We start from the raw sequence: 25594 nt of genomic DNA, 5'->3' as shown, positions 1-25594 counted from the left end.
ATGAATAAAGATAAAGGGGTAGAAGTTCAAGATCAGCCTGGGCTACATAAGTGACAGCCAGTCTCTACAAAATGTAAGAAAATTGGCCAGGCACAGTGGCTCATGCCTGTACCCAGCACCTTGGGAGAACGAGGTGGGTGGATCACTTGAGGTCAGGAGTTCAAGACCATCCTGGCCAACATGGTGAAACCCCATCTCTACTAAAAATACAAAAATTAGCTGGGTGTCGTGGCACACGCCTGTAATCCCAGCTAGTCGGGAGGCTAAGGCAGGAGAATCGCTTGAACCCGGGAGGCAGAGATTGCAGTGAGTCGAGATCGCACCACTGCACTCCAGCTTGGTTTTTGAGACTCCACTCTGTCCCAAAAAATAAAATTAAATTAAATTAAAATAAGAAAATTAGCCAGGTGTGGTGGCAAGCGCCTGTTGTCCCAGCTGCTCTGGAAGTTGAAATGGGAGGATCTCTTTAGCCCAGGAATTGGAGGCTGCAGTGAGCCGTAACCGCGCCACTGCACTTCAGCCTGGCTAACAGAGTGAGACCCTGTCTAAAAAACAGAACAAAACAAGAAACCAAAGACAAAGAACAGCAAAGAGGCTGGCATGCTGGGATATAGTGATGGGGAGTGGGAAGAGGTACAGGTGATGGGGAAACTGAGGCTCAGAGCAAGGCGATCAGTCCAAGGTTGCTCGGAGGCATCAGTGACAAGATATGGAGGGGAATTTGCATTCCCTGCCTACCTAGTGTGTGCTGGGCCAAGAGTGGGCACTTTCATCAATCATGTTAATAATCCTTAGCCACCTCTAATCCTGACTTAGTGAGGTTGAGCTTGCTAGTCCCATTTCAGAGATGGGAGGACTGAGGCTCTGAGACACCATGATTCCAAGGGCTGGCAAGAGCTCTCTGGAAACGAGGCTCCTTCCACCACCTCCCAGCCACTCGCCACTCATCTCCTCCCTCAGCCTTTACTGTGATTTGGCCTCTTCTGGCTGATGAAATATGTTCTCACCATCACTGTCACTCTGCAAAGCAGGAACCCCAGGCTCAGGGGTTTCAGCAACTTGTCGGCCGCCAGCTACCAAGCTCCAAGGCCAGGATTCAAACCCAGGTCTCCTGACTCCATCAGGGCAATCGTCGCAAATTCCTCTGGCTCCTACCACATGCCCCCAGATGCCCCCAGTTGCCCAGGCACCCAGCGTTGTAAGGGGATGTGGGATGACTCCATCTTGCTTATCCCTGGCCAGCTCATTCTCCCCAGTCAGGGCCCCCCTCAAATTTTCCCTCCTTGGAGAGCCTTATCCTGGTCCCCCTTGCAAAAAGCACCCCAGAAGATCTCTGGCCTGCACCCTGGTCTAGTGCATTCAGAGAGTGGGTCACTATGGAAAACCACCTGTTTGTGATTGATATGTATTTTCAGTCTCCCCAGTAGGATGCCGGTTTTAGAAATGTGGAGTCCTGGTTGGGTGCAGTGGCTCACACCTGTAATCCCAGCACTTTGGGAGGCTGAGGCAGGCAGATCATGAGGTCAGGAGTTCGAGACCAGCCTGACCAACATGGTGAAACCCCATCTCTACCAAAAATACAAAAAATTAGCCGGGCATAGTGGCATGCGCCTGTAATCCCAGCTACTCTGGAGGCTGAGGCAGAAGAATTGCTTGAACCCGGGAGGCGGAGGTTACTGTTAGGCAAGATTGTGCCACTATACTCCAGCCTGGGTGACAGAGTGAGACTCCGTCTCAAAAAAAAAAAAAAAAAAAAAAAAAGAAAAAAGTGGGGTCCTTGTCGATATGTTCTCAGCTCTACTCTCAAGGTGTGTAGTAGCTGCTCAGTAAATGCGTATTATTGACTGAGAGGACTGCAAAGGGGCAGACTAGAGGGGCAAGTCCCTGCCACCCTGCACTCCAGAGGGACTGCTCGGCAGCACTGGGCCCAGGACTCACTTGGTGATGCTGACATAGCACAACAGGCAGACGGCCAGGATGACAATGCAGGAAACGCTGACGCCCAGCAGGAGGTGCTGCTCGAAGGGCTCCCTGTAGGCTGGAAGTGGGAGGGGAAGCCATGAGCTGAGGTCAGCCATGGTACAGCCTGGGCTCCACTTCCCAGGACTGGAGACCCAGGGTCAGGACCCTCGTCCGAGACCCTCCACGATCTGACCGCCGACCACCCCTCCACCTCATCTCCCCACCACTCTCCCTCTTGCACATTGAGTCCTCGTCACACCGGCCACCTCATTGCCCCCTGCTCCTCCAAAGCTCAGTGCCACCTCCAGATCTTAAACTTGCTGCTCTTTCTTTCCGGAAGCACAGAAGTCAAATGCACCAACTTAGGAGCCGGATGGCTCCTTGCTGTGTGACACAGGACAAGTCCCTTATCTTCTCTGTGCCTCCGCATCCTCATCTGTACTATGGGGTTAATGACAGAATTGATCGTGCAGGGCTGTTGCGAGGATGACATGATGAATCAATAGATAATGCACTCAGAACAGAGTGGCCTGTCCACATCATTAGCTGCCATCATCTCAACACGGTTGACTTCTCCTTGTTCACTTTCATCGTCACATTCTCCAAAAAGTTTTCCCCGACACCCTCCCTACCGTTGCCCCCTGCCCATCGCTCCATCCCCTTCCTCTGCTTTTATTTTCTTCCCAGCACTCACTGTCATCCAGATCCATGTGATTTCTTTCTTTCTTTATATGTTTGCTTTTTGTCTCTCCCTCCAGAATGTCAGCTCCACAAGAGTGGGGATTTCTATCTGCTTTGTTCATCGCCGATTCCCCAGTGTCTAGCACAGGGCTAGCCATGTAGGAGGAACTCAGCAAATATTTGCTGAAATAATGAATGAGGGTCCCATACATTGTTATCTGTTTCATACAAGCTAGTTCCCTTCCCCATGCCAATGGCAGATGAGAATCAATTCAAAACTTTCCCAAGCACCTGGTTCTGTGCTGGGTTCTGGAGATACAGCCATGGAGACCCTGCCTATGGAGCTCACAGCCCAGGGCAGGAGACACGTGGCTCAACTGATATCCACAGTGCAGGATGAGCAATGCTGAGAGGGCTGTGCGGTGGCAGGGTCAGGGTACTGCCAGCTGCCACTGCACCTACCACGTTGAAGAATCTTCTTTCATTGAGTTTTTACGACAGCCCTTACTCCTCCCATTATACAGATGGGGAAACTGAAGCAGTCTTCTTCACTCAACAGCTTTTTCCTCTCTCCCTTGTCAGGGAGCCATGCCCACCCTAAGGCTTGAGCCAATCACGATTATCCTGTTCCTTTTTCCAGGCATTTGAGTTCCCAGTCTTCCTTGCAATGAGCAAGTAATAACAGTAACCATGTAACATGTAACAGTCTTGGCCAATGAGATGTAAGGGGAATTTTGCTAGGGAAGCTTCTAGAAAGATGTTTGCTTCCTGATTAAAAAAGAGATGCACAAGGTACACTCTCTCGTAGCAGCCTTTCCTTTCCTTCCTGCTTTATGTAAGACAGTGTGCAACGGCCAACCTGAGGGCATGGGTGGCAAGTCTAAGGATACAATGCCACCATGTGAAGGATGGCAGAAGGGAAGACAGCAGAAGGGAAGAGATATCACTTGGCTGCTGTACAAAACCCAGTAGGTCCATTTGTAAGACTTCATTTTATGTGAGATAATCAATATTTCTACTGCGAAAGACCTGTGGGATACCTCACTGAAAAGAGTTGTTTCTGGGATGTAGGTTCCAAGTGAGAAAGTTCCCAGCCTCCTTTGTGGCTATGTGTAGTCATGTGACCATTTTCACCAATAGAATTTGAGAGGAAGTGATGCGGCCCACTTCCGGGCTGTCTGCTTTCAAGAAGCAGATGTGATCTCCATAATCACGCCTCTTCTGCTGGCTGGATACAGACAATGGTGGGGCCCTAGAGCAGGGATTCTTCACTTGGGGTTGATGGACCAACATGGCTGCAGGTAGAATTCAGGGGTCTGAGAACTTGGATGGGAAAGAAATTACATCTTTACTTTCCCTAACCTCTCACACCTAGCATCTCCTTCCATTAAGAATGGAGGAAGGGGCCAGGAACACTGGCTCCCACTTGTAATCCCAGCACTTTGGGAAGCCAAGATGGGAAGATCACTGGAGCCCAGGAGGTCAAAAGCAGCCTGGGCAACATAGTGATACCCTGTCTCTATTTATTTTAAAATTTTAAAAATAAAATAAAATACAATTTTAAAAAAAGAATGGAGGGAAGAGACCCCAGTAATGACAGCATCACTGATCCTGTCCCCAGCAAAACAAAACTCACAGCTATTCTCATATCACATCACAATTTCAGTATCATAAAGTATTATTTATGCTTATCTACTTTGAAATTACAGTATTTATGCGAGCTACCCCTAGAACTTATTATTTATAGATCTTAATAAAGAAGCACATATATCTCTAGATTAAAAATGTGTTTAAATGTTTTATAACTGCATTTCAATACAATTAGTTTCCTCTGTAGTTCTATTTATTTTATTTTATTTCATTGTATTTATTTATTTTTAGAGATGGGCTCTTGCTCTGTCACCCAGGTGGGAGTAAAGTGGTACGATCACGGCTCACTGCAGCCTCAAACTCCTGGGCTCAAGTGATCCTCCCACCTCAGCCTTCCCAGTACCTGGGACTACAGGTGCATGCCACCATGCCTGGCTAATTTTTGTACAGATGGGGGTTTCACTATATTGCCCAGGCTGGGATTTTATGTATTTAAAAATATTCTGAAATGAGGTCCATAGGCTTCACCAGGCTGCCAAAGGAAACCAGGACACAAAAGTAGGTAAGAATCTTTGTCCTGGAGAATGACGGCACCACAAGATGGAAAGAACCTCACTCCCCAGATTTCTACAGGGAGGGAAACCACCTACAAACCAGCAACATTCACGTTAGCTTGTTACGTGAGCAAGAAATATATTCCCATAGTGTTAAGCCATGGAAATTGTGGGCTTGTTTGTTACTGCAGCCTAGCCTGCCTACCTGGCAGATACACCACGGCAGGTGTATCTAATGGCAGGATTGCCATTAGAGGCATCCTATGATATAAAAGCCCAGAGACTCAGCCAGGGGAAGTGTCTGGCCACAGGGGAAGAATGGAGAGTGGAGATTACCATTGCTTAGGCCTCTTGATACTCACAGTTGTGCCACTTGGTGCTGGGGCTCCACTCACTCCAGGTGGTGTTATAGCACTGAGCCCAGGCCCTCACCCGTGCCCTGTAGGAAATCCCAGACTTCAGGGTGCTGGCTGCGATGCGGAGGGAGGGTTCTAGGTAGGTCACGTTATAGATTCTGAACTGGTAGAGAAAAGGGAGATGTTAGGGCACCAGCCGGGGGCGAGGGGCACCAGTGCCCACCCTGGTTGCTGTCGTTAGCTGACCCCACCATGTTTAAGAGCCACCAGCCTGGGTATTTGGTTGTTCGTCCTGTTCAGGCCATTGCTTGCCACCTCTGTAACTGTGACCAGGCTACAGCAACATGCGTCAGGCTCCTCGACTAATTAGCTGTATGTTACTTAGGCAAGTTGTTTAACCTTTCTGAGTTTTCGTGAGATAATTCAATCTCATCTGTAAAACAAGGGTAAGAGTCCCTACTACCACTTCCTGGCTGTGTGACCTTAAGTAAGTGACATAACCTCTCTGGACCTCAATGTCCTCATCTGCAAAATGAAGATAATAAAAGTGCCTATCTCCCTTCCCGCAGGGTTGTGGTGATAAGGAAATGGGTTAATATACGTAAGTATTTCAAATAGGGTTTGGTATACAAAAAGCACTGGGTGATCTTTCTAAAGGACTGGCAGGGTCGAGGCATCTCTCTCTGTCCTTCATGGGCTTCCTAGTGTCTCCATGGTCAAGTCCAAACTCACTGGCCTAGAATCCAATGCTCTGCCCAACCTAGCCTCTACTGAGAAGTGACTTCCAAGATCTATTGTTAAGTAAACAAGGGAAGATGCAGATGTGTATGTGTTCTCTGCTTCTTTTTATGTTTTTTGTTTGTTTGTTTGTTTTTTAAAGAGAGATGGGGCTGGGCATGGTGGCTCATGCCTGTAATCCCAGCACTTTGGGAGGCCGAAGTGGGTGGATCACTTGAGGTGAGGAGTTCAAGACCAGCCTGGCCAACATGGTGAAACTCTGTCTCTACTAAAAATACAAAAATTAGCTGGGTGTGGTGGCGGGCACCTGTAATCCCAGCTACTCAGGAGGCTGAGGCAGAAGAATCATTTGAACCTGGGAGGCAGAGATTGTGGTAAGCTGAGATCATGCCACTGCACTCCAGCCTGGGTGACAGAGTGACGACTTCGTCTCGGAAAAAAAAAAAAAAAAAAAGAGAGAGAGAGAGATGGCACAGTGATCACTGCAGACAAACCTAAGATGGCCCCGATGATCCCCACTTTGAATCACATCTTTGTGTCATCTGGTCTTCTCGAGTGTGGGCAGGACCTGCTACTTGTTTCTAACCCACAGAATATGGTAAAGGTGATGGGATATATAGAGGATTTCATGGATGTGATTATATTACAGAAGACTGTAATATCCTACTTGCTAGGCAAGTCTCTCTGCCTTGATGGCTTTGCAAAGGGCACATGGGAAGGAATTCAGGGTTAACTACAACCAACAGCCAGCACGAAACTGAGGCTCTCAGTTCAACAGCCTGCCAGGGACTGAATGTCACCAATATTGTATGAGCTTAGAAGTGACCCTTCCCCAATTGAGCCTCAGATGAAACTGCAGCCCCATCCCACACCTTGATTATAGCCTCACGAGACTCTAAAGCAGAGAACCTGGCTAAGCTATGTCCAGACTCCCAACCACAGAAACTATGAGATAATAAATGGGTGTTGTTTAAAGCTGTGAAGCTGGTAGTACCATTATTATGCAGCAATAGAAAACTAAGACAGCGATGACTGAACACACACATTTGCTTGTATAGACATAAGCTCTCTCTAAAGGATGCACATGCCCTCTGCCTGCCCTAACCTTGCCTCCCTTTCCCTTCTGGCAAGAGACAGACAGCAGTGGTCAGTCTCTGGGAAGAAAAACAGGAGGCTGGAGTCGGGAGAGAAACATGTTTCCATTCTAAGTCCTTTTGTACCATTTGTATTTTTATTTTGTGTAACTATTACTTTTACCCTCCAAAAAAGCTTTAAAAAGTGATACATGAACGCTATATTCATGACTGACCCTGATGGCAAGTGAGCAACCTGAGTTCTCATCCTGTCACCCCTCTCCCTGCGAGATCCAGGGCTATGCACCTCCCTCTCCTCTTCCTCAGCCCCCGGCAGTTTCTTCCTGGTTACTGGCAGCTCCATTTCTGCTTGTGGTTGGAAGCACATTTGGGGAAACCTGGTGCAAAGTGAGCCAAGGGGAGGTTTTTTCACAAGAAAGAAGCAAAGTTCCAAAAGATTGCTGGAGCAACTACAGAGAGTTCAGAGATTTTCCTATTACAGAGGGAGCTGAGGGTGGGGTGTGAGTTGTGGGGAGACTGGGGAAGGGAGAGAAAATTCTCACTCTCTTTTGTCTTTCTTTCTAAACATGAGCAAACAAGAAGCAACAGCTAGATGTAAGTTACCGAAGAAATCTTACACCCTGGAAGGGAGCTGGGAACTGGGAAATGTTTTACTAAGAAACAAAAGAGAAATCTGAGCTTCCAAAGAACTACTTGCGGTTTGTCTGTTTTTTAACAAGAAGGACAGGTGTTTGGGAGACCATCTCTGAGAGAAATGTCCATGGGAGGAAAAAGAGCACAGGCTTGGGAGTTCAAATACTGGGTGCAAATCTCAGATCTGGGCTGGATGCGGTGGCTCAAGCCTGTAATCCCAGCACCTTGGGAGGCTGAGCCAGGGGGATCACTTGAAGCCAGGAGATCCAGACCAGCCCGGACAACATGGCGAGACCCTGTCGCTACTAAAAATACAAAAAATTAGCCTGGCGTGGTGGCCTGTGCCTGTAGTCCCAGCTACCTGGGAGGCAGAGGTGGGAGAATCACCTGATCCCAGGAAGTCAAGGATGCAGTGAGCCATGATCACGCCCCTGCATTCCAGCCTGGGTGATAGAGTGAGACTCTGTCTCAACAACAACAACAACAACAAAAACTCAGCCCTGCCATTTCCAGCTGTGTGACCCTGAGCAATGTGCCTGGCACATAGTAGGCATATAAAATATGGAAACCATTATGAGGCAGGCATTCAGGGCTCTAACTAAACTTTTGGCTTTGTTTGGTGCTTTATCGCTACACATATTCCCACATCCCCCAACCCCATAATCCTCAAACATTCCATGAATTTTCACACCCATAAACCTTTTATCATGCAGTTCCCTCTGCCTGGTCTACCGTTCCCTTCTTTCCCCATCTAGAAAACTCCTATGCATCCTTCAATGCCCAAGCCAAAACTCCCCCTCCACTATGGAACCTTGCCTAGAAATTATCTAGGGGAATGAATGAGTAGCTCTAGCCCCAAAATTCTATAGTAAGTTCCTAATGTTTCTTTCTGGAATTTATCCCACTCAGTATGAGCCACAGTTGGTGCCTATAGTGCTGTGGCAGATGCAGGTGGACACCCGCCCAGCTTTTATGCCATCGGGTTTAGGTGCCCACTGCTTAGGACAGAACTCCACTGCCTGCAACTCCAGGGCCAACCCTCATTAGTCTAAGCCAATTGTGCCAATCCCATCACCTGGCCTATCATTCATCAGAGGGGAGCATGTGGCCAAGCTCTGGCCAATCACTAAATTCTTTATGTTCAGCTCTGTTCTTGGGAAGGGAGAGATGGGGTATCTCAGTTGCCACTGTTCCACCCACAAGAGAAGCTGGACTTCATTCTTCTGCCTCAGACCTGGTATCTGGAGGCCTGTGGCATCCCTGAGCACCAACATACCCCTAAGCCATAGCCCAGGCATGCTGACCAATCCAATCCCATGACTGGCATCTGGTGCCACGTCTTAAACCTGGCTGGCATTTTAGCCAGCACAGTCCTGCTTCCTCTTCCCCAGTTTCCCCTGGGGAAGCCACTCCTGCCTTATTTTCAGTTCATCTGGTTTGGATGGAGCTGAGCCCACCTGCAGCCCTAGAGGCAGGTATGTGACTCCTCCCTGGACAAGCAGGGCCCTCCACCAGCACCCTCTCTCCACCCACAGCCAGTGATTGGTTCAGAGGCTGGCACAGCATCGAAGCCAGGCCACTGAGCAGCAGCCTTAGGACTCTTATTAGAACCGTCAAGAAAAAAAACCCTTTTCCCACTGTGGCTTTGGGATGTAGGCCTGGAGCAACTAGTAGGCATATCTGCCACTACATGAGGGAAGAGCCTGCCTAAAAACGAAGCCAGTACAGAATAAAGCAGGGCGCAGAGCTGGACAGGTTCCTAGAAGCTGGATCCAGCCATGCCTGAAGGCAGATCTAGAAATATGAAAATATTAAATAACATATCTTTGGACTCTGAAGGTGGTACCTTTCTCTTCCCCCCAGCCCATCCTTGGGACTCTCTGTAGGTCTTGCACAGGCCTGGGGCATGAGAAGGAGATTTATTGACCAAACAAAACTTGCCCCACTCTCTAGCATCTGTGCACTCCTTCCCCCCATGCCCCCCGCTTTCTGAGCCTCTGCTGTGTGAGCCAACTGCCCCATTCCTGCTCTTTCCCCATACCTGGCCCAGTGCCAAAGGGGAAACCAGACCTGAGAGATATAAATCGACACCCCTGGCTTGGCCAGATTGAGAGGAAGCAGTGACAGACACCAGCATGGGAGCTTAAGGTGGCGGGTGCCTGCTCCCTGAGAGCCAACCAGGCCCAGCCTGGGCCCCTGGGATGCACAGAGCCGGCCCTCACAAACCTCAAGGAACAAATGACAGACCAGTGTGTGGGACAGCGGGCAGATGGGGATCTCTGTGGCCTGGGGCACTCAAGAGAAAGGGCACATGGCTTTTAGGACACATGTGGGCCAAACAGGGGAGCTCATCTGTATCACACACCTTGTACTGTCATAGCCCTGTGGGCGGGTGCTCTTGTCACTCCTGTGTTACAGATGAGGAAACTGAGGCACAAAGAGGTTATGGGATATGCCCAACATCACACAGCTGGCGAGTGGCACAGCAGGCATTGGATTGCAGCCCTGTGGGACCCCAGGTCCCATATGTCCAGAGATTGTCCCTCCAATGGGAATGTGAGGAAGGTGGATTCAGGGTGGGGAAACATGGGTGGCAGGAAATGACCTCCCTGCACACCAGCAGAAAAATAGGGGGACTCAGCCACCCACTGTGGACGGCCCCTGCCATTACTGACCTGATAGTTTCCTGTAAATCCTCTCGCCCTTTTTAAAGATGTCAATACATGTACTTAAGAAGGAACTCCACTGGCCAGGTGCGGTGGCTCACACCTGTAATCCCAGCACTTTGGGAGGCCAAGGCGAGTGGATCATCTGAGGTCAGGAGTTTGAGACCAGCCTGGCCAACGCAGTGAAACCCCATCTCTACTAAATATACAAAAATTAGCTGGGCACGGTGGCAGGTGCCTGTAGTCCCGGCTGCTCAGGAGGCTGAGGCAGGAGAATCGCTAGAACCCAGGAGGCGGAGGTTGCAGTGAGCCAAGATCACGCCACTGTGTTCCACCCTGGGTGACAGAGTGAGACTCTGTCTCAAAACAAACAACAACAAAAACTCCACCAACACTACTGTGAAGGGAATGTCAGGACCAGCTTCCATGGGGAACAACCAACAAACTGATCTTGTTTTCTTGGGAAAGTCTAAGCCTGGGGTGTGGCCTCTGCTCTCTTCATTAAGAGGAATTAGTAAACGAGTCAGCTGTATGGGGACTTCCTCCTTAACCCGTTGGCCTCAAAAGGGAACTGACACGGGTCACTGTCTCTTGAGTCAGTATTATTCTCTTCAATAATAGGGTTATTCAAGTGAGCTGTCAATGTGCCACCTACGATCACTTGTGTCCCCCAAACTGGGAAACACAGATGTGGCCCACAGCCCTACCTTTACAGAGGAGGAGCGGCATGCAGAGATAACTCCCCTTCTCTGATGTGAGGGGTGGGGGGCCAGGAAGCAAAGGGACTTGCCTAGTGCAGAGCCAGGTGAGAAGCCAGGTCTCTAGCTCCTGGGATTTGCTATCCAGCCCCAGGGCTTGCCTCCCAGGCTCCTGGCTCCAGGGACTGGGCCTCTGCTGGTCACCCACCCTGTTCCCCAGAGGTCACAGAAAAACGTCAAAGCATGCCCACTCACATCTGCCGGGTCGTTTTCACTCCAAATGTTGACTGCATAGGTGAGATGATTATACAGGTAATTGTCAGGGGGATACGGGTTGCTCCAGGTCAGCAGCAGAGTGTCGGAGACATTGGTGTGAACTGTCAGGTTTCCTGGGGCCCTGGGTTTCACTGCGGGAGAAGCGGCCTCTATGTGAGGATCTATGCAGTGACTCCCCCATCACCCAGCCCAGCCCCGGCCTACAAACCACAGCCACCACCCAGATTTTTGGTCGACAAAACCTCCATAGCATACTTCTGGAGCACCACACAGATTCAGAGCCATAGCAAAGAAGATTATAATAACAATAATGTTGCTAAAATTCTACATAGAACTTTAGTGTTTATTAATTACCCTTTTTTTCTTCTTTTTTGAGACAGGGTCCCACTCTGTTGCCCAGGCTGGAGTGCAGTGGCACAATCCCAGCTCACTGCAGCCTCAATAGCCCAGGGCTCAAGTGATCTGCCTGCGCTGGGCTCCCAAAGTGCTGGGATTCCAGGCATGAGCCACCGCGCCTGGTCTTTACTAACCACCTTTCTACAGTGAAGGCAAAGTGTATGAGCCAAAGTAACCCAAACTTCAGCCTTTTAAAAAATCTTTTTATTTTTATTTATTTTTATTTTTTTGAGACGTAATCTCACTCTGTCGCCCAGGCTGGAGGGCAGTAGCATGATCTAAGCTCACTGCAACCTCCTTCTCCTGGGTTCAAGCCATTCTCCTACCTCAGCCTCCCAAGTAGCTGGGATTACAGGCGCCTGCCACCATGCCAGACTAATTTTTTGTATTTTTAGTAGAGACGGGGTTTTACCATGTTGTCCAGGCTGGTCTCGAACTCCTGACCTCCGGTGATCCGCTGGGCTCGGCCTCCCAAAGTGCTGGGATTATAGGCATGAACCACCACACCCGGCCTCAAACTTCAGCTTTTACAGCTGCATCCTTCACACCTTTGGCCACATCTCTGTACTTTATGATGATTTACTGAGTATTTTTCTTTATTTTGATTCATCTGTTTTAAAACTTGGTCTCCTTTGAAGCAATCATATCCATGAGACCTCAGGTTTTTATTCCTGTGATGCATGTCATATCATGCATCACTGGAATACAACGCATGTTTTAAACTCCTGTCACCACAGCCCAGCAAGCTCAAGGGGGATTCCTGCAGGGACTCCGGGTACCAGAAGAAGGTCAGCCTTCCACGGTCAAGACCATCCAAAGCCGCAGCAGCTGACCAGTGGACACAGAATGGAAGGAATGTTCCCAGTTCGGTTTTCAATCAGCAGCAGGCATGCCTTCCAGCAAGCACACCTCATCTCAATACGCCTTCCTGGGCACTTAAGTTCAGGGGTGGAAACAGCTGGGCTGAAGGGGGCTTGGTGGTCTACTGCGACCAGCTCCGTTTCAAAGGTGGGAGGACTGAGGCCCAGGCAGGGGCAGGAATCCCATCAGATTTGGGAAAATACAGGCGGCTTCCTCCTGCTGTTGCTATGACCCCACCTCCTCCCCTGCCCACCCCACCCTCAGCCCAGGCAGCTGTGGGAACACACCCAGCCACCCCTGCCGCACTCCGCCCTGCTCACCATGCTCGCTGGGCTTGAAGGAGCCCTTCCACAGCAGCTGCTGCCCAGCCCACAGGTCCAGTGTATAGTTATCCGCACTGACCACGTCATCCATGAGCAGGTGGCACACGCACCCCGCGCCTCCGTTGTTCTCAGGGATACACGTGTGGGCTCTGCAGACACAGGGGCTGGGTTAGGCTGGTCACCTGTAGGCTGGCTGGGCCCCACAGCTGTGTCCGGGACATGCCTCCAGGAACCGCATCAGACTCTTCCAGCTTCCCGATCACGGATGTGAGGACAGATCTGGGGGCTTGGGAGCGGCCAGGGTGTGCTGGGGCAGCCGACTAGGGTTGCCTCTCTTGCTGGCCACAGCCTCTTACCACATGCACCAAGGATGCTCCTCACACCTGCCTAGCTGCCGGCCCTGGTCCTGGGACTTAGCTTGTTCCTGAAAGCCCATGAAAGGGAAGAACCGGTGGCACTAATTAATTTAGAACAACATAAGCTCTGCATCGCACAGTTTGGCCATCGTAAGATAATTCCAATGTTCCACCTTAACAGCCAACCCACATCTCACGGGCTAGGCCAGGGGTCTGCAAACTTTTTCTGTAACAGGCCAGATAGTTAATATTTTGGACTTCAAAGGCCACACAATTTCCTTTTTTTTTTTTTTTTTTGGTTATTTGTATAAATTTAGGGGGTACGAGTTTTTTGTTTTTTGTTTTTGTTTTTTTTTCCTGAGACAAAGTCTCACTGTCACCCAGGCTAGAGTACAGTGATGTGATCTCGGCTCACTGCAACCTCCACCTCCTGGGCTCAAGCAATTCTCCCGCCTCAGCCTCCCTAGTAGCTGGGATTACAGGTGTGCGCCACTACACCCAGTTAATTGTTGTATTTTTAGTAGAGATGGAGCTTCACCATGTTGGCCAGGCCGGTCTCGAACTCCTGACCTCAAGTGATCTGCCCACCTCGGCCTCCCAAAGGGCTGGGATTACAGCCGCGAGCCACCACAGTGCCCGGCCTTACAAGTGCAATTTTGATGGCAAGCCTCAGATCTGTTCTCACTGGATATGCTGCCTAGTGGTGAAGTCTGGGGTTCTGGTGGGTCCGTCACCCAAATGGTGTACACTATGCCCATTAAGTAACTTCTCTTCCTTCACCCCTCTCCCACCCTCCCAAGTCTTCAATGTCTGTTATTCCATGGTACATGGAATAATGCCCATGTGTACACATTATTTAACTCTTACTTATAAGTGAGAACATGCAGTATTTGACTTTCCATTTCTGAATTATTTCAATTAAGATAAAGGAGGAGGCCGGGCTCAGTGGCTCATGCCTGTAATCCCAGCACTTTGGGACGCTGAGGCGGGTGGATCACCTGAGTTCAGGAGTTCGAGACCAGCTTGGCCAACATGATGAAAACCGGTCTCTACTAAAAATACGAAAAATTAGCCGGGTGTGGTGGCAGGCACCATTAATCCCAACTACTCGGGAGGCTGAGACAGGAGAATCGCTTGAACCCGGGAGGCAGAGGTTGCAGTGAGCCGAGATTGTGCCACTGCACTCCAGCCTGGGCAACAAGAGCGAAACTCTGTCTCAAAGAAAACAAACAAACAAACAAACAAACAAAAAACATAAAGGAGGGCCATGCAGTTTCTGTTACAACTACAGCAGCCAGTGTGTTCCAATAAAACTTTATTTACAAAAACAAGCAGTGGGCCGGATTTGGCTCACGGGCCATAGTTTGCCAATCCCTGGACTAAGCCAATGGAAACAAAGCACAGCCCATCTACCTTAGAATAATCATGGAATACCACCTTTACTGGTGAACGCTGCATGCTGGTGTGCCGTATATCCCCAGTCTGCCCCGTAACTGTGTGTCTTGTGTACGTGATTATGTCCTGGGCACCAGTGTAACGAAGCATCCTGTGCACCATGGAGTAGCCCAGGGAACCACCTGACTCCTATGCCATGTGTCCTGGTCCATCCACCATCACAGAGGACTCCACTCTCAACACCGTACTCCTCAATCAAGGGTCTAGTCCAGTGGTTCTCAAAGTGTGGTCTGGGCCCACCAGGTAAAACTCTTTTCATCATAATACAGGGACGTTATTTGCCTTTTCACTCTCTCTCACTGGCGTACAGTGGAATTTTCTAGAGGCTACATGACCTGTGATCATGTAATTGATCTGAAGATTTGTTGAATGCGGGCTTGCATGTTGTTGGGACTTAAAATTTCTCCATTTTGGGCCGGATACAGCGGCTCACGCTTGTAATCCCAGCACTTTGGGAGGCGGAGGCAGGAGGATCACTGGAGCCCAGGAGTTTGAGAGCAGCCTGGGCAACACAGTGAGACCTCCATTTCAGTAAGAAAAAAAATTTTTAATTGTTTTAATTTTTTAAAAATTACACCATTTCTTCATTGCAAGTTCTAATTAGGTAAACATAGAATGATGTGTTACCTACACCAAAGCCCTTTGGGTCCTCACTCATTTTTAAGTGTGAAAAAGGGTCCTGAGACCAAAAAGTGTGAGAACTGCTGGTCTAGTCCAGTATTCCAGCCGTATCCATGTGCCACGTGGACCAACACTCCCACCATGCGCTCCACTGTATCTTACATAACATGTCCCTGGAGATGGGACCTCCCCTCTAACACCATATAAACAGCAGCAAACCATACTCAGCATCCTGCACTCCAGCGCACCACCTGGACCCAGCTCACTCTTGGGGCAAACCCTTTGGGCACAACCTCCCCAAACCTCCAGCTCCAGCGCAGGCTTACTCGGAGAGCAGAAAAACCAGCTGGTACAACAGGCGGAGCTCGGTGCTGCAATTGGTGGGACCATTCATCTTCCACTCGCAAGTAGAGATGCTCATGTAGTCGGAGACGCAGGTGGGCTCCTGCAAGACCTTCATGTTCCCTGGGGAGACACAGGAGCAGCCTGAGCGGCCCAGGAACTCAATGCGTGAGGGGGACTTGCACCCAAACAGGACCAAGGGGAATAGCACAAAAGCACAGTGCAGGCAAAGTTGAGGGCCAGCGCCCACAGAGCTGGGGCCAGGACCAGGGCTGCTGGAGCTTCCCAGCTAGTGTCGGGATGACTGTGGAAGCTGAAGAAATACCCATGGGTGCGGGGGCCATTAGACAAGAACGAACCAAGTGCACCTTTATCTCACACAAACTTGACAACTTGTTCTTGGCCAAATTAAAGGGAAAATATGTAGCAGTTTAAGGAGTGCCATTCCATCACACCAAGCCTCTGCCCTCGAGCTAGGGGAAGTGCCACTTCCCCATTTGCCCACTATCTGCGCCCCTCTTTGTCTCCACCCCTTTCTGCCCTCTCTGTGCTCAGGAGGCTGATACCACAGTCTTCATCACCGGGTACCCTTGGCCTTTAGTTTCCGGTTGGGTTTGGCCAATGGGAGAGAGGAGATGGATGGGCTGGAGGAGACATCGGGGTCCTTCTCCTTTCAGCGCCCTCCTAGCTTGTCAGTGGCCATGGCAGGACTGGAATTGGCAGGATGTACACTGAGTTTGCTAAACCACCTGAGCATGAGACCACTCAGGCGCCTCCATGCTCCCATGCTCAGTGCCACGCCCATCTCAGCTGACAACAACTTGCATAAGGGCTTACCATGTTAAGGAGCTGTCTTAGATAGCAAATAAATATTCCAAGCTTATCTCATGTCCAAAACTAACTCCTGATTCCCGCCCCTCCCCAAAGTACCTTCTCTTCTGGCATCCTTCTGCATTTCAGAAATGACAACCGCGTCCTTCCCAGTAGTTTAGGTCAGAAATCTTGGAGTCATCCTGGCCACTTCTCTTTCTCTGTCTTTCACCTCAATTCCAATCTGTCCTCAAATCTACCTCCCAGAGGGATCCGGAGCCTCTCATCTCCTCCACTCCAGACCTCCCTCCAGACCTCCTGGCTTCCACCCTCTTCCTTTCTCCACACGGCATCCTGAAGAGTCCTTTGGAACATAATGGATGATATGGATCCTCTGCTCAAACACTGCAAGGTCTTTTTTGATTCAGCCACTCTGTCACCTTGCTGACCTTCACTGCTCCCTCCTGCTGCTCACTCTCCTCCACCACATTCCCTCCTGTGCTCAACCCTCCCGCCAGGCTCAGTGCAGGGCCTCTCTGCCAAGAATGAGCCTTCCCCAGACATCTGCACGGTTCCCGCTTCCTCCAAGTCAGCTCAATGAGGCCTTCCCTGACTTCCCTACTTTCAACTGCAATCCCCCCCACTCCACCCAGCTTCCCCAACCCCCTCTTATGCTGTTCTGTGTTCTTTCCCCATCACCTTCTCTTTTTTTTTGACAGGGTCTCACTTTCTCACGCAGGCTGGAGTGGAGTGGCGCGATCACAGTTCACTGCAGCCTTGACCTCCTGAGTTCAAGGGATCCTCCCACCTCGGCCTCCTGAGTAGCTGGGGCTACAGGCGTGCACTGCCACACCTGGCTAATATTTTATTATTTGTAGAGACAAGGTCTCCCTATGTTGCCCAAGCTGACCTCGAACTCCTGGGCTCAAGCGATCCTCCTGCCTCGGCCTCCTGAAGTGCTGGGATTACAGGTGTGAGCCACTGCACCCGGCTCCCATCACTTTCTAACAATCTTTAGAATTTACTGATAATCAGGGCCACTTGTCATTGGCTGTCCCCTCCCACTGCAGTGTAATCTCCATAAGGCCAGGTGACATACTGCAGGACCCTGGCACGCCATTAATAGCCAACAAATGAATGATTGAGAAGTGGTGACTTACCAGAGCTTGCCACCTGCAGCAGGACCAGGCAGCTCACAGGGAACAGGAGCCCAGAGCAAAGCCACCCCATTGGGAGATGCCAAGGCACCTGCAGAGAGAGAGGAAGCAGGTTAGTGCTGACCTGTGCTTCCAGCAGAGCTCATCTTATTCAATATGCAACCCTCCCCTGCCCTGGCCATTTATTTGTTTGTTTGTTTGCTTGTTTGTTTGTTTTTCCGAGACAGAGTCTCGCTCTGTCTCCAAGGCTGGAGTGCAGTGGTGCAATCTCAGCTCACTGCAACCTCCACCTCCCGGGTTCAAGCGATTCTTCTGCCTCAGCCTCCCGAGTAGCTGGGATTACAGGTGCCCACCACCACACCTGGCTAATTTTTGTATTTTTAGTAGAGACGGGGTTTCACCATGTTGGCCAGGCTGGTCTTGAACTTCTGACCTCATGATCTGCCCCTCTGGTCTTCTCGAAGTGCTGGGATTACAGGCCTGAGCCACTGCGGCTGCCCAGCCATGCCCTGGCCATTTGTGTCTCTGCCGACAACAGGTCCTCCACGTTCACAGAGCTCTCTCTATAATCATGAAACAACACCCAGACCCACAAAGTCCAGAGGGTGAGCTACACAACAACTGTCCTGGGAGATGCTTCTGGATGTGGCCTTCCTTGGACAACCCTCTACACATGTTTCTCTGATTATTTCCTGAGGTTTAAATACCTGCTCTGTCACTGACTAGATGTGAACCTTGAGCAAGCTGTGCTTCCATGCCTCAGTTTCCTTATCTATAAAGTGGGACTAAGAATAGCCCCATCTGATTGAGGTGTTGTGGGGATTAAATGAGCTAACACAGACAGAGCCCTCCAACAGTGACCGGAACACTTTAAAGTCTCAAGTAACGTTACAAGTCAGCTTAGTCCATATAGGCTGCTATAACAAAAATACCTTAGAGCAGGTAATTTACAAAGAACAGAAACGTATTGCTCTATTGGGTGCAATGGTGTGCATCTCTAGTCCCAGCTACTCGGGAAGGTGGGGTGGATCACTTGGAGTCCAGGGGTTTGAGACCAGCCTAGGGAATATAGTGAGACCTCATGGTGAATTTTTGAAAAATTGTTTTAAATTTTATTATTCAGGCCAGACACAGTAGCTCACACCTGTATTTCCAGCACTTTGGGGAGCCAAGGTGGGTGGATCACCTGAGGTCAGGAGTTCGAGATCAGCCTGGCCAACATGGAGAAACCCCGTCTGTACTAAAAATACAAAAACTAGCCGAGTGTGGTGGCGGGCACCTGTAATTCCAGCTACTCTGGAGGCTGAGGCAGGAGAATCGCTTGAACTGGGGTAGGCAGAGGTTGCAGTGAGTCGAGATCGCGTCATTGTACTCCAGCCTGGGCGACAAGAGCAAGACTCCATCTCAAAATAAATAAATAATAAATAAATAAATTTTCTAATGCATAGTTCTGGAGACTGGGAAGTCCAAGATCACGACACTAGGAGATCCAGATCTGGTGAGAGCCCATTCCTCACGGACGATGCCATGCTGCTGTGTCTTCATATGACAGAAGGGGCAAACACACTTCCTTCAGCCCGTTCATGAGGGCACTAACCCCATTCATGACCAACCACAGAGCCCTCATGACTTAATCACTTCTCCAAAGGCCCCATCTCTTAATATGACTACAATGGGATGAAGTTTCAACATATGAATTTGGGGGAACACATTCAGCCCATAGCACCAGCTATTATCATTAAGAAAAAAATGTTCAGAAGCCAGGTGTGGTGGCTCACACCTGTAATCCCAGCACTTTGGGAGGCTAAGGAGGGAGGATGGCTTGAGCCCAGGAGTTCAAGACCAGCCTGGGCAACAGAGTGAGACCTTATCTCTACAAAAATTAAACAAAATCAGCCAGGCACGGTGGTGCATGCCTGTAATCCTAGCTACTTGGGAGGTTGAGGTGGGAAGATCGTTTGAGCCTGGGATGTCAAGGCTGCAGTAAGCCAAGACCGTACCACTGCACTCCAGCAAGACCCTGTCATAAAAAAAAAAGAAAAGAAAAGAAAACAGAAAGTTTGGGAGGCTGAGGTGGGCGGATCACGAGGTCAGGAGTTTGAGACCAGCCTGGCCAACATAGTGAAACCCTGTCTCTACTAAAAATACAAAAATTAGCCAAGTGTGGTGGCGCACACCTGTAGTCCCAGCTACACGGGAGGCCGAGGTGGGAGAATTGCTTGAACCCAGGAGGCGGAGGTTGCAGCGAGCCGAGACCATGCCATTGCACTCCAGCCTGGGTGACAGAGTGAGACTCTGTCTCAAAAAAAAAAAAAAAGGAAAAGAAAAAAATGCTAAGAAGCAGAATCTCACGGAGTCAAGTGTGTACTTTTCCCCAGCACTCCTGGTACATAACGTCAAATACCCTCCAAAAAGTGTGTACTGGGGCCGGGCGTGGTGGCTCACATCTGTAATCCCAGCACTTTAGGAGTTCACAACCAGCCTGGCCAACATGGTGAAACCTGTCTCTACCAAAAATACAAAAAAAAATTAGCCGGGCGGTAGTGGCGCGTGCCTGTAGTCCCAGCTACTCAGGAGGCTGAGGCAGGAAAATCGCTTGAGCCTAGGAGGTGGAGGTTGTGGTGAGCCGAGATGGCACCACTGCACTCTAGGCTGGGCGACACAGTGAGACCCTGTTGCAAAAAGAGAAAAAAAAAAAAAAGAAAAAGAAAAAAAGAAAACAGCACGCGCTGGGTTATATTCCCTGCAACATTTCAAGTGCCCATCCTTCACTTCCCGCTTGGGTCTCTCTCCTGGGATCTTATTCAAAAAAGCAGCTCCCAGGCTTTGTTCTGCTAGTGAGTAGTTCTTTGCCATTAACAGCATTTCTCTTTTGGTGCTCTGGCTGTGTTTCTGTGGCACAGGAATGGTTCCAAGGCTAACCTCACAGGCTTGCAGCAAACAGGAACGGAGGTGTTGCCTCTGAAGCACTGTGTGCAGTGTCTGGGGCATCATAAGAACTTAAGGCCACCTCAGGAGCTCTAGGCCCCTGCTGGATGCTCTCCGAGTGACTTGGGCACACTTGAAGGCCCTCCCCCCAGCAGGGCTCCACCTCCCTCTCCACCTGGGCCCAGCACCCATGCATCCTACGCCTGCCACCTACACTTCTTCTTTTTTGTTTTTTAACATTTTATTTTATTTTATTTCATTTTATTTTTTTGAGACAGAGTTTCACTCTTGTTGCCCAGGCTGGAGTGCAATGGCGCGATCTCGGCTCACTGCAACCTCCGCCTCCCAGGTTCAAGCGATTCTCCTGCCTCAGCCTTCTGAGTAGCTGGGATTACAGGCATGGGCCACACACCCAACTAATTTTGTATTTTTAGTAGAGACAGGGTTTCTCCATGCTGGTCAGGCTGGTCTTGAACTCCCGACCCCAGGTGATCCGCCTGCCTCAGCCTCCCAAAGTGCTGGGATTACAGGCGTGAGCCACTGAGCCCGGCTGCCACCTGCACTTCTTAAACACACCAAACTCAGTCCCACCTCCATGCCTTTTCTCTCTCTGTCCCCTCCACCTGGAGGGACCTTCCCTTCCTCCCTTTCCTTTTTTTTTTTTTTTTTTTTGAGACAGAGTTTACTCTGTTACCCAAGCTAGAGTGTAGTGGCACAACCTCGACTCCCTGCAACCTCCACCTCCCGGGCTCAAGCAATCTTCCCACCTCAGCCTCCTGAGTAGCTGGGACCACAGATGTGCACCATGAGGCCTGGCTAAGTGTTTGTATTTTTGATAGAGATGGGGTCTCATTATGTTGCCCAGGCTGGTCTCGAACTCCTGAGTTCAAGCGATCTGCCCACCTTGGTCTCCCAAAGTGCTGGGATTACAGGCGTGAGCCACTGTACCCGGCCCTTCCTCCCTTACGCGTGCTTTTCCTCTCTTCCCCTAATTTATGATGGTGCAAAATCAATGGGTGTTCAGTAGAAGCAGTACTTGGAGCACCCATACGACCATTCTGTTTTTCACTCTCAGTATTCCATAAACTACACAAGCTATTCAACACTTTATAACAAAACAGGCTTTGTGTTAGATGACTTTGCCCAACTGTAGGCTAATGCAAGTGTTCCGAGCTAAGTTAAGCTATAACGTTCAGTAGGTTAGGAGTATGAAGTACATTTCTGACTTAATAATATTTTCAACTTATGATGAGTTTATGGGGACAAAACCCCATCATTAAGAAACATCTGTGTATGAGACACATAAACACACTCACATATCTCCATAATGAATAAATTACCCCAATACCTCAGTGTGCATGTCAGAAAAACAAGGACATTCTCTGCATAATCACAATACAACCATCGAAATCAGGAAATTAACAGTGATGCATCACCACTATCTCATCCACGGCCCCTATTTATGTTTTGCTAATTGCCTCAATAATGCCCTTTATACGTCCAGGATGCAATCCAAGATCATTCATCACATTTGATTATCATGCCTTCCTAGTGACCAGGTCTTGGCTTCTAAATACTATTCTGTACTGAAAGGAACCAGAGCGCCTTAGAGAAATAGCTGATTCCAGGAGAAGGAAAAGTACCAGATAGGCTTGGAATTCTTGTGCCAGACAATAAGGAAGTACTCAGCAGCTAGCCTGACCTGGACAAAACAGGCACATTTTGAGCATCAAAATGAATATTATGGTATCCACTTGTAACCCTTGGAGTTAAAGTCCAGGAGTCTGTATTGACATAGATCAATAAATGGAGGAGGCCGGGTGCAGTGTGGTGTGTGCCTGTAATCCCAACTTCTTGGGAGGCTGAGGCAGGAGGATGGCTTGAGCCTGGGAGTTGGAGGCTGCAGTGAGCTATGATCGCACCACCGCACTCCAGCCTGGGCAACAGAGTCAGACTTCATCTCTAATAAATAAATAAACAGGGAAGAAGGGAAAGCTCTATTTTACTATGACAGCCTCAAAGTAACTCCCTGCAAAACTTGTATTGTATATTAACTAATGAGTGAAAATACATATCAATGAACGTTACAATACAGAAACCTGGCAGACACCACCTTCACCAAGTGATCTAAACTCACCAACAAGAATGGGACAAATCCCCAACATCACCTCCCTGAAACAATTCCTGAGAAGAGCACAGCATGTCTTTTCCTGGGTTCCTGCCAAGGATGCATACATCATTTGGAAACGTCAGACAAATGTACACCAAGGGCCAGTCTATATACAAGAACTGGCCGCTGCTCCTCACGAAGTGCCAGGGGTGCAAAGGACAAGCCAGCGTGGGACATCTGTCCCTTTTTAAATTGTCTGTCATCCTGACAGCCAGGGTCTGTCCCATTCACTGCCGAGTCCCCAGTATCTACAACGGTGCCTGGCACATAGGACGTGTTCAGTAACTGTTTGTTGATTAAATTCATTTTGGACATGATGTGGGGCCCCTAACTGGCTCAGCATGAGGCTGCAAAGCTCTCTCTAGGGGAAGGCTCTGTATCGGCTCAAAGGTTGAACTCGTCTTCCTTGCTGAGAGTTACAAAAGTAAAGTCTCAAGTAAAGGAGGGGCGGGAATGGGGTGGTGGGTTCCTGACACTGATTTCCTTGGCAAGTCCTAGTAACTTTTACTCTCACAACTACACAGATGCCCACAGTATCCTGTGGCAGAGATGGCAAAGGTGTCACTTTAGCCTCAATTATGAATAAAGAGAAACAGAGAGGCCAAGACGCCTGTCCAAAGTCACACAGCAGAAGACTTTCATGGTAAAGTCCTCCAGGGAAACAGGGGAGTCAACAACCCTGTCAAGATTCACTAAAACATCCCAGCATGGCGTCAGGATTGATATCCTTAATCTGTTGTGGAAGGCACGCCCAGACTTACGCATGCCCATGTGCACACACACGTGCCGCAGCTAGCTTCTCAGGGATGTGTGGGTGCTACATTTCAGGAGAGATCACAGATGCAGTGGGAGAAGAGGCTTCCCTGAACATCAGAGGCAAAAAGAACAAAGATGCAGGTGAGTAAAAGAATTAAAAAGATAAGTGCCAGGTTATCGCGTTCAAGTACACGGCAAGAGGAGATGATTTCAAGTTCCCATTCTAAATCAAGAGACTCCTGGCTGGGCGCGGTGGCTCACGCCTGTAATCCCAGCACTTCGGGAGGCTGAGGCAGGCAGATCATGAGGTCAGGAGATCGAGACCATCCTGGCTAACATGGTGAAACTCAGTCTCTACTAAAAATACAAAAAATTAGCTGGGCGTGGTGGCGGGTGCCTGTAGTCCCAGCTACTCAGGAGGCTGAGGCAGGAGAATGGCTTGAACCCGGGAGGCGGAGCTTGCAGTGAGCCAAGATTGAGCCACTGCACTCCAGCCTGGGTGACAGAGCAAGACTGTCTCAGAAAAAAAAAAAAGAGATTCCTGAAGTGGTGGAGTTGGAAGGGGTCTCAGCGGTCACCTGCCAAGCTCAACTGCCAACCTGGACAAGGATGTCCTGCGAACACCCCACTTCTGACATGCTGCTAGGCAGTTTCAGCCCATATGCCACCACAGATGGAGCAATCACTCTCAGGTCTCAGTTAAGCAGAGCCATTGGAAACAGCCTCCTTATGTTGAGTCAAGGCTTTGTGTGAACAAAATCCCTGCTTGCCCAGCACTTACCTTGTACTTGACACTTTGCTAGGTGCTTTAGAAGTATTACCTCACCGAATCCACACAAGAATCCTGAAAGGTAGGCTGTTATCCCAACTGTCTAGCTAAGGAAACTGAGGCCAGAGAGGCCAAATAACCCATCCACCAGGTCCCACAGCTGGTAAAAGGTCAGAGCTAGAATCAGAACCCACGTTTGTTTGCTTCCGAGCCCACCGTGGATTCCAGTATACCAGTTCCTTCAATCTCATCTCCTAAAACTGCAGGCTGAACCCAATAAGATGAAATAAAATGAGCCGGGCAGAGTTGGCCATCCTGCTTGTCAATTTCAAACAACAGTTCCGCAAGTGTAGGATAAGAAAATCTGACTGAGCAGCAGAAAAGTCCTGAGGATTTTATCATCTGCAAAATCTCCAAAAGCCAATGGTGAAGCAGCAACTTAAAAAAAAAAAAAGAGTCACCCGAGGTCATATTAACAGAGGTATCCATTTATAGACTGTTACATCTCACAACAGCAGAATATACATTCTCCTCAGGTTCATGTGGAATAATCACCAAGACAGACCACATTCTGGGACATAAAACAACCTTAAGAGATTGAAAACATTAGAAATCACACAACATATGCTCTTAGGCCACAATGGATTCAAATTAGAAGTCACTAGCAGGAAGAAAGCCAGAAAATTTCCAAGTATTTGGAGATTTAAAAACACACTTCCGAATAACATATGGATCAAAGAAGAAATCACAAGAGAAACTAAAAATATTTTTAACTAAATAAAAATGAAAATATAGCCTATCAAAATCGGTGAGACGTAGCAAAAGCAGTGCTTAGAGGGAAATTTATATTATTGAATGTATATCTTAGAAAGAAAGTTCTAAAATCAATAATCTGTTTCCATCTAGAGTACTAGAAACAGAAAAGCAATATATGTCTAAAACAAGCAGAAGAAAAAAATACAAAATTGGAGCATACATCAATGAAATTAAAAATAGAAAATTAATCGAGGAAAATCAATGAAATCAAAAATTGGTTCTTCGAAAAGATCAATGAAATTGATAAATCTCTACCTAGGCGAATCAAAAAAATGAGAGAGAAGGCACTAATTAATAATAATGTGATATGGCCTGGCTCTGTGTCCCCACCCAAATCTCACCTTGAATTGTAATATGAATTGTAATCCCCACGTGTTGGGGGAAGGACCTCATGGGAGGTGATTAGATTACGGGAGCAGTTCCCCCATGCTGTTTTCGTGACAGTGAGTGAGTTCTCCTGAGATCTGATGGTTTTATAAAGGGCTTTCCCCCCCTTTCCTTGGCGTGTCTCCTTCCTGACGTCATGTGAAAAAGGATGTCTTTGCTTCCCTTTCCGCCATGATAATATGTTTCCTGAAGCCTCCCC

The 25594-nt window shown here is 48.9% G+C and overlaps 1 protein-coding gene across 15 annotated transcripts in view; it reads right to left on the bottom strand.

Annotated features, from left to right (window-relative positions):
* Positions 1-25594, bottom strand: part of IL4R (interleukin 4 receptor) — a 51023-nt gene that overhangs the window by 6933 nt on the left and 18496 nt on the right. For 7 of the 15 annotated variants that reach the window (XM_011545826.3, XM_011545825.2, XM_017023211.2 and 4 more), the window contains 6 exons: positions 17573-17660; positions 15587-15725; positions 12826-12977; positions 11228-11379; positions 5150-5306; positions 1939-2038 (listed from right to left, as the gene is read on the bottom strand). In XM_011545826.3, coding sequence (XP_011544128.1) covers positions 1939-2038; positions 5150-5306; positions 11228-11379; positions 12826-12977; positions 15587-15725; positions 17573-17642 — 770 coding nt within the window. In that variant the 5' untranslated portion in view covers positions 17643-17660. Of the gene's footprint in view, positions 1-1938; positions 2039-5149; positions 5307-11227; positions 11380-12825; positions 12978-13184; positions 13253-15586; positions 15726-16532; positions 16777-17572; positions 17661-24386; positions 25458-25594 lie in introns of those variants that run through there. The other 8 variants (NM_001257407.2, XM_047434066.1, NM_001257997.2 and 5 more) reach the window with 8 other exon arrangements.

This window comes from Homo sapiens, chromosome 16 (assembly GCF_000001405.40).
Source record: "Homo sapiens chromosome 16, GRCh38.p14 Primary Assembly".
NCBI lineage: Eukaryota > Metazoa > Chordata > Mammalia > Primates > Hominidae > Homo > Homo sapiens.
Note: the sequence above shows the minus strand (reverse complement) of the source record. Positions and strands in the feature narration are given on the sequence as shown.